Source organism: Homo sapiens, chromosome 14 (assembly GCF_000001405.40).
Source record: "Homo sapiens chromosome 14, GRCh38.p14 Primary Assembly".
In the NCBI taxonomy this organism is placed as follows: domain Eukaryota; kingdom Metazoa; phylum Chordata; class Mammalia; order Primates; family Hominidae; genus Homo; species Homo sapiens.
In genome coordinates, this window is record NC_000014.9 from 76295442 (window position 1) to 76308060 (window position 12619).

At 44.9% G+C, this 12619-nt stretch overlaps 1 long non-coding RNA gene across 1 annotated transcript in view, besides 1 other annotated feature; it reads right to left on the reverse strand.

Annotated features, from left to right (window-relative positions):
* The window catches only part of LOC105370575 (uncharacterized), an 83107-nt gene that overhangs the window by 68129 nt on the left and 2359 nt on the right, over positions 1-12619 (reverse strand). The window contains exon 2 of the long non-coding RNA XR_001750833.3: positions 473-539. This is a non-coding gene — a long non-coding RNA (uncharacterized LOC105370575). The remainder of the gene's footprint in view (positions 1-472; positions 540-12619) is intronic.
* Positions 9133-9286: a silencer, noted in NCBI's record as "fragment chr14:76770917-76771070 (GRCh37/hg19 assembly coordinates)". NCBI's record gives its function as "represses an EF-1alpha promoter that drives an FKBP-Casp9 reporter gene in an ReSE screen in phorbol 12-myristate 13-acetate-treated (for megakaryocytic differentiation) K562 erythroleukemia cells {active_cell/tissue: K562(+PMA)}" and the evidence as "EXISTENCE:reporter gene assay evidence [ECO:0000049][PMID:32094911]".

Below are 12619 nucleotides of genomic sequence, written 5' to 3' on the forward strand. Positions count from 1 at the left end.
AGTACATGAGCATTACCTTTTGCGCTTTTCTGTATTAAAAGTGTTTCTGTATTTAAAATGTTTTCTGCATTATATTATCAAATTAAAAGCTTCTATTCAACAAGTCACAATTTGTGACACTTCAGCCGTAGCTCCTACGAATGATGATTAGCCACCTTGGAGCATTATCACTAGACCCCTGAATGACTCTGGCCCCTTGTCTTGCAGCCACCCTTGATTTCCTCTTTTTCTCTTCCTGGCAGACTGTTATTCATCCTTCAAAACCCAGCTCAAAGATTACCTTCCCAGTGAATCCTTCCTTTACCTCCTCTGAGTCAGTTGTTCCGTAATTGTAGTCACTCAGTACATTGTCTATATATTCCTAATAAATATATTCCTAGCATATTGTATCATTATTTATTTGTGCATATATCTTTCCTTAGTCTGTAGCTTCTTCCAGGATATACTGTCTGAATCTTGTTGATCTCCTTACCTTCAGTTTCTAGCAGAGAGCACACAGTAGCACATCGTAGATTCTCTGTGATGATACTCCACGCTGCCTGTTGGATGTGTGAATGAATGTTTAACCTTCAAACAACAAGCTTTCAAAAGTATATTAATAGAAGATATTTGTATACAAGGGATATGCTAATTAAAATTAGTTTTATTTATTCATTCACCCAAACTCAGCAAGAACGCCATTTGGCTGCTATTAATGTTTAGTGTGATTTATTGTAAGTGCTAGAAATGTAAAAAATGTGTTTCTTTTGAAAGGAAAGCTACAGTTCCTTCTTGTTTTCCTTCATGCCTCCCCCATTTGTCTGAATTAGTAAGGCTTTACTTTTAGTTCAAGTCTTTTCCTCAGACTTGAAAGTTGCTTGTACGGTAATTTAATTACCTCTGAATCTACCGAAGGCAAATACCAAGCAATGTACGAGGTTAGATTATGGAGTTCCAAGTTATGTATTAAGTCAGCCTCATGTAGTCCTCGAGGCGGTAGATGGTGACTCCTTACCCCCATTCCCGTGTGTCAGTGCTGGAAGGGAAGCCCAGTTAGAAAATTTGCATCCTTGAGTTAACCAACAGAAGGGCGGCAGAGTCCTTACATGCAAGCAAAGCAAACCAAGACAGAGGGCTGTCTGCTCCTTCCAAAGCTCTAGGGTTCTCCCTGGAGAGGCACGGATTAATCACCATAAAACCAGAAGGCAGTTGCCACCATCACTGAACAGATTGTGGGGGAAAACGTAGGTCTGGAGCTGGACTGACTTGGTTTCTATGCCAGCTCTGCCTCTTTCAAGGTGGAAATGCTACAGGACCTCCCACTGCCTCAGTTTCTTAATCAGTAAGATGGGATGATAATGGTATCTCCACTTCAGGGGCTGCTGTGAGGATCAGATGAGTGAACATGTAAAGTGCTTAGAACAGTGCCTGGCACATAACACGTGCTCAGGTGCAAAAGAAGCTCCCCAAGAAACTCTCTCCTGCAGCCCAACTGATTCACAGACAAAGGACATCTTCATTGCTGACACTTGTCCCCTGGGTGTTTCCTCACCTTGTCCCATATGCCCAGGGGCTACTGTGACTGAAACAATGGGGAATCATTGTGTAAAGTGCTGCAAAATGGGCAGGTTTTCTTCTAGCCCAAAGACTGACAATAATTTTTTGGAAGTGGGGCTTGGGGTTTAAGGAAGACGGTGGCCAGGGGCAATGGCTCATGGCTGTAATCCCAGCACTTTGGGAGGCCAAGGTGGGTGGATTCCTTGAGTTCAGGAATTCAAGACCAGCCTGGCCAACATGGTAAAACCTCATATCTACTAAAAATATAAAAATTAGCTGGATGTGGTGGCACGTGCCTGTAATCCCAGCTACTCAGGAGGCTGAGGCACAAGAATCGCTTGAACCTGGGAGGTGGAGGTTGCAGACAGCCGAGATTCTGTCACTGCAGAGCCTGGGGGACAGAGCAAGACTCCATCTCAAAAAATAAATAAAAGGGAAAATGGTGCCAACTTATTACAGAGAGAGAAATGGAATAACTGAAAGTGTGAAATGGAATTCACACCATTGACATTATTCTACCAATGTTTGCATTTTAGGGATTCTTTTTTTTTTTTTTTTTTTTTGAGATGGAGTCTCTGTCACCCAAGCTGGAGTGCAGTGGCACAATCTCGGCTCACTGCAACCTCTGCCTCCCAGGTTCAACTGATTCTCCTGCCTCAGCCTCCCAAGCAGCTGGGATTACAGTCATGTGCCACCACGGCCTGCTGATTTTTGTATTTTTAGTAGAGATGGAGTTTCACCATGTTGGCCAGGCTGCTCTCAAATTCCTGGACTCAGGTGATCTGCCCACCTCACCTCCCAAAGTGCTGAGATTACAGATGTGAGCCACCTCTCCCGGCTGCATTTTAAGATTCATAACCTGTGGGGTCTCAGGGCTTTTCTACTGGTTTACATGCAGTTCATATTAATTGGCTCTGGGCCATATGTAGCACCATTTGCCATATGTAGCACCACACCTAGTTTATCAGTTAGAATGCTTTGGGATGCAAGTAACAGAGAGACTATGAAAAGGAAATAGTGATTTAAGAAATAGAAACATGCATCGTCTTCTATAACAAGAAGTAGGTGATTCCAGGGTTGGTTTCTTGGCCCAGCGGGTCACCAGAGAGCCATGGTCCCACATATTTTCCATCCTTGTGCTCTGCTGTCCTCGGCATGTTGGCTTTTCCTCTGCAAGTTTCTTTTTTATGGTTGCACTATGGCTTCTGAGGCTCTTTCCCCTGCCCTGTCTCTCTTTCTATCATGGAGGAAAATATTGCCCAAATGCCTTCCCCTTCCACCCCAGCAAACTCCCCCTTAAGTCTCATTGTTTGACTGGGACACATGGAAACCTCTAACTATAAGGGAAGCTGGGGAAACCCCTGGTATTTTTAATGTCTACAGTAATTGGCCCAGCCAGCCAGGAAAACCGGAAGACTACAACGCAACCCATGATGTCTGCTGCACTTGCTCAAATGCCTCTTTTATCATTTCCATCTACGTTCTCTTCTCCAAAAGCCTCTTCCAACTCAAATATTAACTGGTGGCTGGTTCTTTTTCTCCTGGAAGAGGGTCTATCCCTTCCTAAGTCAGTTCTTTCTATGGGGCTGCTGCACGTACCTGCCCACATTGTGATCTGCCCAATTCTAGGAAATTCATACGCACTGCCATATGAATGGTGCTTCCTGGAGTTGTGCAGTGCACAACGTTCTCATCTGACACCCTGCAGACCATTTCTCACTCATCCTATGTTGATCTCTTACCCTGCTCTTCACCCATTTACTCTATGTTTCCTAATTCGTTGTCATTCATTCATTCAACAAACATTTATAGATCACCTAGTGAATGCCAGGAACTGGGATAGGCACTGGTTGGTAGAGGATGGTAAAAACAAGAAAAAAGCAAGTCCTCATTCTCCAGGAGCTACATCCCAGGGATGGAGACTGACGTGTGAACAAATCTTTACAGTACTGTGTGATATGTGTTCTAGGAGAGTGTGTCCCACAATCCTGTAGGAGTTCAGAGGGAGGAGTGGCTGAAGTAGGGAAAGGCTCCTAGAGGAGGTGACACTGGAGCTGGGTTTTGAAGGCCGATGGTGTATTTCAGGCAGAGGGATGAAAGAGAACACAGTGGTGCAAGGGAGACAGTACCATGTGCCGGGGGCGGCGAGAGATGTGACCAGGAATATGAGTTAGATCTGAATTATGAAAAGCAAAGGACTTGGATTTTATCCCATGGAAAATGAAGAACCATTGGATATTTTTAAACAAGAAAATTAACAAGACAAGGATGCCCACTCTCACCACTTGGCTCAACATAGTACTGGAAGTCCTAGCCAGAGCAGTTAGGCAAGTAAAAGAGACAAAAAGCATAGAAATCAGAAAGGAAGAAGCAAAGTTATCTCTGCAGATGACATAATATATACAGAAAAATCCTCCCAAATCTGTTAGAATTAATAAAGTTTCAAGATACAAGATTAACATACAAAAATCAGTTGCCTTTCTTTCTTTTTTTTTTCTTTCTTTCTTTCTTTCTTTCTTTCTTTCTTTCTTTCTTTCCTTCTTTCCTTCCTTCCTTCCTTCTTTCTTTCCTTCTTTCTTTCTTTCTTTCTTTCTTTCTTTCTTTCTTTCTTTCTTTCTTTCTTTCTCTCTCTCTCTCTCTCCTCTCTCTCTCTCTCTCTCTCTCTCTCTCTCTCTCCTTCCTTCCTTCCTCTCTTTCTTCTTCTTCTTCTTCTTCTTCTTCTTTTTTTTTTTTGACAGGGTCTTACTCTGTCATCCAGACTGGAGTGCAGTGGTGCAATCTTGGCTGACAGCAATCTCTGCCTCCCAGGCTCAAGCAATTCTCCTACTTCAGCCTCCCAAGTAGCTTGGGACCACAGGCGTATGCCACTACATCTGTCTAATTTTTTGTAGTTTTTGTAGAGACAGGGCTTGGCTATGTTGCCCAAGCTGGTCTCAAACTCTGGGACTCAGGCTATCTGCCTTCCTTAGCCTCCCAAAATGCTAGAATTATAGACTGGAGCCGCCACACCTGGCTTAATTAGTTGCGATTCTATATCCTAACAACAAACTATCTGAAAAGGAAATTAAGAAAGCAATCACATTTACAATAGCTTCAAAAAGAATAAAATACTTAGGGATAAACTTAGCCAAGGAGGTGAAAGACCCGTGCACTAAAAAGTACAAATCATCTTTGGGAGGCTGAAGCGGGCGGATCACAAGTTCAGGAGATCGAGACCACCCTGGCTAACGTGGTGAAACCCCGTGTCTACTAAAAATACAAAAAATTAGCCAGGCGTGGTGGCGGGCACCTGTAGTCCCAGCTACTTGGGAGGCTGAGGCAGGAGAATGGCGTGAACCCAGGAGGCAGAGCTTGCAGTGAGCGGAGATCGCGCCACTGCACTCCAGCCTGGGCGACAGAGCGAGACTCCATCTCAAAAAAAAAAAAAAACAAACTACAAATCATTGGCCTGATGCGGTGGTTCACGCCTGTAATTCCAGCACTTCGGGAGGCCAAGGTGGGCAGATCATTTGAGGCCAGGACTTCAAGACCAGCCTGACCAACATGGTGAAACCCCATCTCTACTAAAAATACAAAAATTAGCCAGGTGTGGTGGTGCAAGCCTGTAATCCCAGCTACTCAGGAGGCTGAGGCAGGAGAATCACTGAGACAGGGAGGCAGAGGTTGCAGTGAACTGAGATCATGCCACTGCACTCCAGCCTGGGTGAAAGAGACTCAGTCTCAAAATAAAAGTACAAATCATTGATGAAACAAATTAAGGAAGACACGAATACATGGAAATCCATCCTGTAGTCATGGATTGGAAGACTTAATATTGTTAAAAATATCCATATATCCATAGCTATCTACAGTATTGATGCAATCCCTATCAAAAATCTCAATGGCATTTTTTACAGAAATAGAAGAAACAATCTAAAATTCATATGGTACCACAAAAGACCCCAAATAACTAAAGCAACCTTGAGCAAGAAGAACAAAACTGGAGGCATCACACTTCCTGATTTCAAAATATACTACAAATCTATAGAAATTAAAACAGTATGGTGTGGTACTGGCATAAAAACAGACATATAAACCATGGTATAGCATAGAATAGATAGCCCAGAAATAAATGCATGTATGTATGGTCAACTCATCCTTAACAAGGGTCCAAAAATACATGTGGACAAGACAATCCTTTCAACAACTGGTGTTGAGAAAACTGGATTTGCATATGAAAAAGAATGAAATTGAATGCTTATCTTACACTATACTCAAAAATCAACTCAACATCGATTAAAGATTTAAATGCAAGATCTGGAACTGTAAATCTCCAAAAGAAAACATAGGAGAAAAAATTGGCAATGATTTCTTGGATTTGACACCAAAAGCACAGGCAACAAAAGCAAAATTAGACACGTAGGATCATATCAAACTAAAAATCCATGCAGCGAAGTAAACAATCAACAGAGTGAAAAGGCAACCTGTAGAGTGGGAGAAACTATTTGCAGACCATATATCCGATAAGGGATTACTATCCAGAATACCCAAGAAACTCCTACAACTCAACAGCTGAAACAAGAACAAATAACTTGTTTGATTGATTGATTGATTGATTTTTGAGACAGAGTTTCATTCTTGTCTCTCATGCTGGAGTGCAATGGATCACTGCAAACTCTGCCTCCTGGGTTCAAGAGATTCTCCTGCCTCAGCCTTCCAAGTAGGTGGGATTACAAGCATGAGCCACCACGCCCAGCTAATTTTTTGGTATTATTATTAGGAACGGGGTTTTACCATGCTGGCCAGGCTGGTCTCAAACTCCTGACCTTAGGTGATTCCCCACCTCCGCCTCACAAAGTGCTGGAATTACAGGCATGAGCCACCTTGCCCGCCAATAACTTGATTTTAAAATGGGCAAAGGACTTGAGTAGACACTTCTCTAAAGAAGATATACAGATAGCCAACAATACGTGAAAAGAGGCTAAACAACACTAATAATCAGGGAAATGCAAATCAGAACCACAATATCACCTCACACCTGCTAGGAGGGAAGGAATGAGTTCAAATTTGACCATATCCTGGTGATTAGACTTGGTGGCTAATTAGATGTGGAGGGAGACAGAGGAGTTAAGGATGACTTGGAGGCTTCCAGTTTGGGGAATGAGATGGATGATGGTACTGTTAGTTAAGAGGGAACACAGGCAGAAGAGTGTGTTTATAGAAGAAGATGATAAATCTGGTTTTGAGCACCCTGCATTTAATGCAGTTACCTGGTTATGAACGTGGCCACATGTAGAAGGGAGACTTAAATAAGAATCTAAAAGATCCATGGTCCAGGGGGGTGACATTGCACAATGAAGGGAAATAGACTGAGGGGAAGGCAGGGTCCAACACAGTGCAGTTTTGTTTTGTTTTGATTTTGAATAGAGTGGACTTTAAAGCATTTCAATAAGTTTTGTGGAAGGAGTCATTGGAGAGAATCAATGATGGGAGAGTGGGAGGGGAGAACTGATAGGATGGAGTCCTGGAGAGGGGCTAGCTGCAGGGCTGGATGGAGCCGGTATCTTGGGGCAGGAGGAAGAACAGAAACTTATCTGAGATATGGTAGAGGGCTGCCATCAATCTCTCTATCCCTTAAAAGGCTCAAAATCCCCAGAGATTTTTTTCAATTTGGTAAATTCATATTCCTGAGAGTCCTGAACAATTTCTACTTTTATTTATTTATTTATTTATTTATTTTTAGAAACGGAGTCTTGCTCTGTCCTCCATCCTGGAGTGCAGTGGCGGGATCTCGGCTCACTGCAAGCTCTACCTCCTGGGTTCACTCCATTCTCCTGCCTCAGCCTCCCGAGTAGCTGGGACTACAGGCGCCCACCTCCGCACCCGGTTAATTTTTGTATTTCTAGTAGAGACAGGGTTTCACCATGTTAGCCAGGATGGTCTCGATCTCCTGACCTTGTGATCCACCTGCCTCGGCCTCCCAAAGTGCTGGGATTACAGGTATGAACCACTGGGCCCAGCAAAATTTCTACTTTTAAAGTTTGAGTACCAGTATCCATTTCCTTTTGGAGAGGTGACAGGACCCTAGTCTCTTTCTGGGGAATTACTTTTCTCCCATTGTGCGTAGTCCTGGTGAGCTGTCAACCTCTCCGAACTCCTCACCACCCAAGGTGATCACATGACCCAGGCTGAGCTGGTCATTGTCTTTCCTGGGGCTTTTGGCCTTTGAGCAGAAGGAAGCAGGGTTGGCAGTTGCTTGGAGCTCATTCATTCCAGTGACTGTGTCCTAAAGAAGCCACCCACCACATTCTGTTCTCAGACCCCTGGAGCCACCCTCGTTTCCTCAGTCTTTCCTTTTGTTATTGTTGTTGTTGTTTGTTTGTTCGTTTTTGAGATGAAGCCTTGCTCTGTCACCCAGGCTGGAGTGCAGTTGCGCAATCTCAGCTCACTGCAACCACCGCTTCCCAGGTTCAAGTGATTCTCCTGCCTCAGTCTCCCAGGTAGCTAGGATTACGGGCGCCCACTACCACACCTGGCTAATTTCATATTTTTAGTAGAGACAGGGTTTCACCGTGTTGGCCAGGCTAGTCTTGAACTCTTGACCTTAAGTACCCACTTCAGCTTCCCAAAGTGCTGGGATTACAGGCTTGAGCCACCGCACCCAGACAGACTTTAGGGGACTTTTTAAAATATGAATGACTTATATCATTTCAATAAATTCTATTTCTGCTTAAGTTGGCCACAGTGAGATTCTGGCTGCTTTTGACCAAAGTATACTAGTGATAGCTCTGAAAAACTGCAGAATAATAGCGTGTTTTTTGCTGATGAGGATTGTACAGGTATTTTCAACCTCCCATTTTACAGAGCAGATTTGACATCAGTCTCCCTATCCCCAGTTTATAAGGAACAAGACATAGGCCTGGGAAGAGCTGCTGGAATCCATGGCCAGCACGAGCTTTGTCCACACCCAGCTCTGAGACTTCCTAAACTTTCCTCCCTTGTCCTTCTCCTGCCCCTCACCTCTCTTTGCCTGCTTTAAATCCCATCCAGAAGGAAAGACTAGGGAGATCTAACTATTCCCCATGGGGTCTATCTGATAACTGGGAAATCTCCCAGCAGTCATTAGGTTCTAAGATCTTTCTCTTACTCAGCCAGAGGAAAAGACTCAAACCATGACAGATATGCGCTGAGCCCTGGAAATGTCCCACGGGGTGCATCCAGCCAGTGCAAACCCATCTCTCTTTGTGCATTCCCTTCCAGCTACGTTCTTGGTGGAAATCCTATTGCTTTAGTTCACTAACACCATGAGGAAGTGTCACTGTGTACCCCCCACTTGGGTGGGGGGCCATAGCAGAAAGGCTATGAGCACGGGCTTTCATGCCAGGCAGAGGTTGGTCCTAACTCTACCATCTACCCACTGTCCGAAGTGGGCAAGTCACTCGCCCACTTGGCTTACCAGTTTCCCAGCTGATGAACTGGAGAAAATAATTACTGACCATCAGGGTAGTTGTAAGGTTTAAATAAGGCGATGTAGATCAGGTGCTTTCCACAGAACTTAGCACACAACAGTGCTCAATGAATGACAGCAGTTGTTCCATTATTACTGCCTTTTTGTAGCTTGAGACAAACACAGGTGAGAAGACAGCACACTACTCAAGGTGATGTGAGATGTGACATACACTCAGATGAGACGTGTTGGTGGTGGTGGGAGGAGATTTGAGGTGACGGCTGCTGTGGACAGGGAGTGGACAGGTGAGATGTCACACTTAAGCTGGGCCCTGAAGAATGAATAGAAATTAAATAAGACAGAAGGGAGGCAGTGGAGCCAGGAACACACCTAGCTGGGACAGCGTGTTTATGGGATGCCATGCAGTCTGGCTGGGCAGCAGGGCGGGTCTCCTGGAGTAAGGAAGTGGTGGAAATGGGGAGAGGGAGTCTGGGCCTGGGGGCCTTTGATTTGTCGACTTAGGTCTCCTGTTATTCCATGAGTCCCTGTTCTGGCAGCTCCCCTTCCTCTAAGAAGAATACACCATCCCCTAGGGGATTGTAGGCATGTGCCAAACTGCTGGGCATGGAGAGTTCCCCAGCAAATGGGTTCCTGGTCAAAAGGCATTCTGCTTCCACCAGGTAGTGGGTATTTACTTCAGCGTGAGCACCTGCTTTTGGGGAACCCTTTGGGGACATCAATCTGCCCTTTCTGCCTCCTCTTCCCATGCAAGATGTCACCAGCATCAAACTGTGTGATCTCCACCTGACACACCTGTAGAATGCCCTCTGGAAATGGTGCGCCCAGCAGTGTCCCCAGAGCTTCCTCGTCCTTGAGTTTAAAGCCAGCGTGCCCACAATGCTGCTTCCTGGTCTCCTGTGTCCTGGCGAGAGATGATTAATGGCCTAGCCACACCGGTGTGTTGTATTTAGGTCTCTCCCCAAGCAGATAGATTTTTCTTTCCAGATAAAGTGGAGGCAGGCCCTTCCTGGACTGCAGGTCCTTGCCCACCCCTCCTGGCTGGCGGTCTATGTTAGGGAATTCGGAAAAGTAAATGAATTGATAAGACAGTGTGGGAGGGGGATGACTGCACTTTCAGTGGCCCTTGTAAACAATGTAAAGTCACCTTGATGTGCCGGGACTAATGATGCTGGAGTGAGCCAAATGGAGCCCGGTGGCACTGAGCCAGTGGAGGTGCACACATCCCTGCGGCCGGAGAGGAGCCGTCAAGGGCCCACCTCCCTCTGCCTGTGTCTTTTCTGTGTGGTGACACACAGCTCTGTCTCATTCCAGGGGCCAGACCTCCTGAACTTTCAGTTGCTTCCTCTGTACAAGGGGATCTTCTAGGTTGAGCTGTGTCTCCCACAATGATGTTTAAGTCCTGGCTCCCAGTTCCTGTGAAGGTGACCTTTGGAAATAAGGTCTTTGCAGATGATCAAGTTAAGATGAAGTCACTAGGGTGGGCCCTCCTCCAATGACTGGTGTCCTTATAAAAAGGGGAAATTTGGACACAGAGGCAGAAACACACACAGGGCTAAGGTACTGTGAAGCTGAAGGCAGAAATTGGGATGATGGTGCATCTACAAGCCAAGGAACCCCAAAGACTGCCAGCCAACCACCAGAAGCTAAGAGCGAGACCTGGAACAGATTCTCCCTCACAGCCCTCAGAAGGAACCAACCCTGCTGACACCTTAATCCCAGACTTCCAGCCTCCAGAACTACGAGCCAATACATTTCTGTTGTTTTAGGCCCCCCAGTTTTGGCGACTTTATTCTGCAGCCCTTGCAGACTAATACGAGAAGTAATAATTCTCCCTGTGGGGGTGTGCCGAGGATGTGACAAGAAAATCCGGGCGAAGCAGCTAGTACGTAACACGTGTTCACAAATGGTCATTGACTTCTTAGGCTGGGAGGCTCACCCCCAGACCTAGGGGTTAAGAACTGGGCTGGATGTAGGCGAAGGGGCTGGCAGACCACGCAAAACAAAAAGTACTGCAAGGTCAGCCTCCTTGTTTCTACAGAATAGACACACGGTAAAGAGTTTAGGAAGGGACCGCTTATTGTGTGATGTTGTTTATATGAAATATACAGAATAGGCAAATCCATAGAGGCAGAAAGCAGATATGTGGTTGCTGGAAGCTAGGGTTTCCAAAATGCATATGTTAAGGAGAAATAAATGCCTTTTGTTTAAGCCACCAAGTCTGAGGTCTTTTGCTATGGCAGCCCTAGCAGACTAATGGGGGAATGGAAGGTGCCTGCTTAATGTGTACGGGGATCTCTTTGGGAGTGATGAAATGTTCCGGAACTAAACAGTGGTGATAGTTTGCACAGTGTGCAGCATTGTGAGTGTGCTTAACGCCACTCAACTGCATACTTTAAAATGGTGAATTTGCTCATATGCAGAATCTAAAAAAGCTGACCTCTTAGAAGTAGAGAGTAAAATAGTGGTTACCAGAGGCTGGGGAAAGGAGTGGGAAGGGTGGATGGGGAGCAACTGGTTAGTGGTACAGTGTCTCAGTTAAATAAGCGAAATAAGTTCTGGTGTGCTATTGCACAGAAAGATGGTTACAGCTAACAATATTGGATGGTATATTTCAAAATAGCTAGAAGAAAGGATCTTGAATGTTCTCACCACGAAGAAACAATGAATGTTCAAGATTATAGAAATGCTAAATACTCTGATTTGATTATTATATGTTGTATGTATGTACAGTTATTATGTGTCAATTAAATTTTTTTTCCAGTGGGCTTTAGTATATTTACTATGTTATGCGAGCATTCCAGCTATCTAATTCCATAAAATTTCCAGAACAATTCAGAGCCTATCAGTGCAATAAAAAAAATTAATAGTGAATTTTATGTCATATGAATTTACAGTATTAAGAAAAAGACAGCTGGCATGGTGGCATGTGCCTGTAGTCCCAGCTACTTGGGAGGCTGAGGCAGGAAGATCACTGGAGCCCAGGAGCTTGAGACTAGCCTGGGCAACATAGCGAGATCCCATCTGTAAAAGAAAAAAGGAAAAAGTATATATTGCACACTAAAAAATTTTGAAAAGGAGGGATTAGGAAGGAAAACTCAAGAAATTCTAGAAAAGTTGGAATCACCTTTGAAGGAGGAGGCAGAACTCATAATCTCATTGAATAACTGGGGTTGCTGAGATATTTGGATTTTTTCAAAAATGTCATGTTCTGGTCAACTGCTGAGTGGTAGTAGCCTCAGGGTGGAACATATAACTGTTCTGGGACACCAGAATACACCAGGTGGGCAGAGCATCTCTGGAATAATTGAAGTTGCAGTGATATTTGGATCATTTTTTTTAAATGCCATGTTCTGGCCAGCTGCTGAGTGGCAGCCTAAAGGTGGAATATTCAACTGTGCCGGGACACCAGGGCATCTCTGGGGAAAAAGAATGGAGCAGGGTAGGGAGGAGTGAGTGTATTATGAACCTGGCCCTTTGTGATAGGTGCAGCAACCGGGACAGATTTGGAATCCTCTGGGTCTTCCTGTTCTTCTCTACACCTGCTTTTGGGCTGGCACACTAAAACTCCAAAAGTCCCCATGCGGTCTTCTCTTCCTGACCTCTGACCTCTGGCCAGCTCTGTGGCCAGAGCACGCC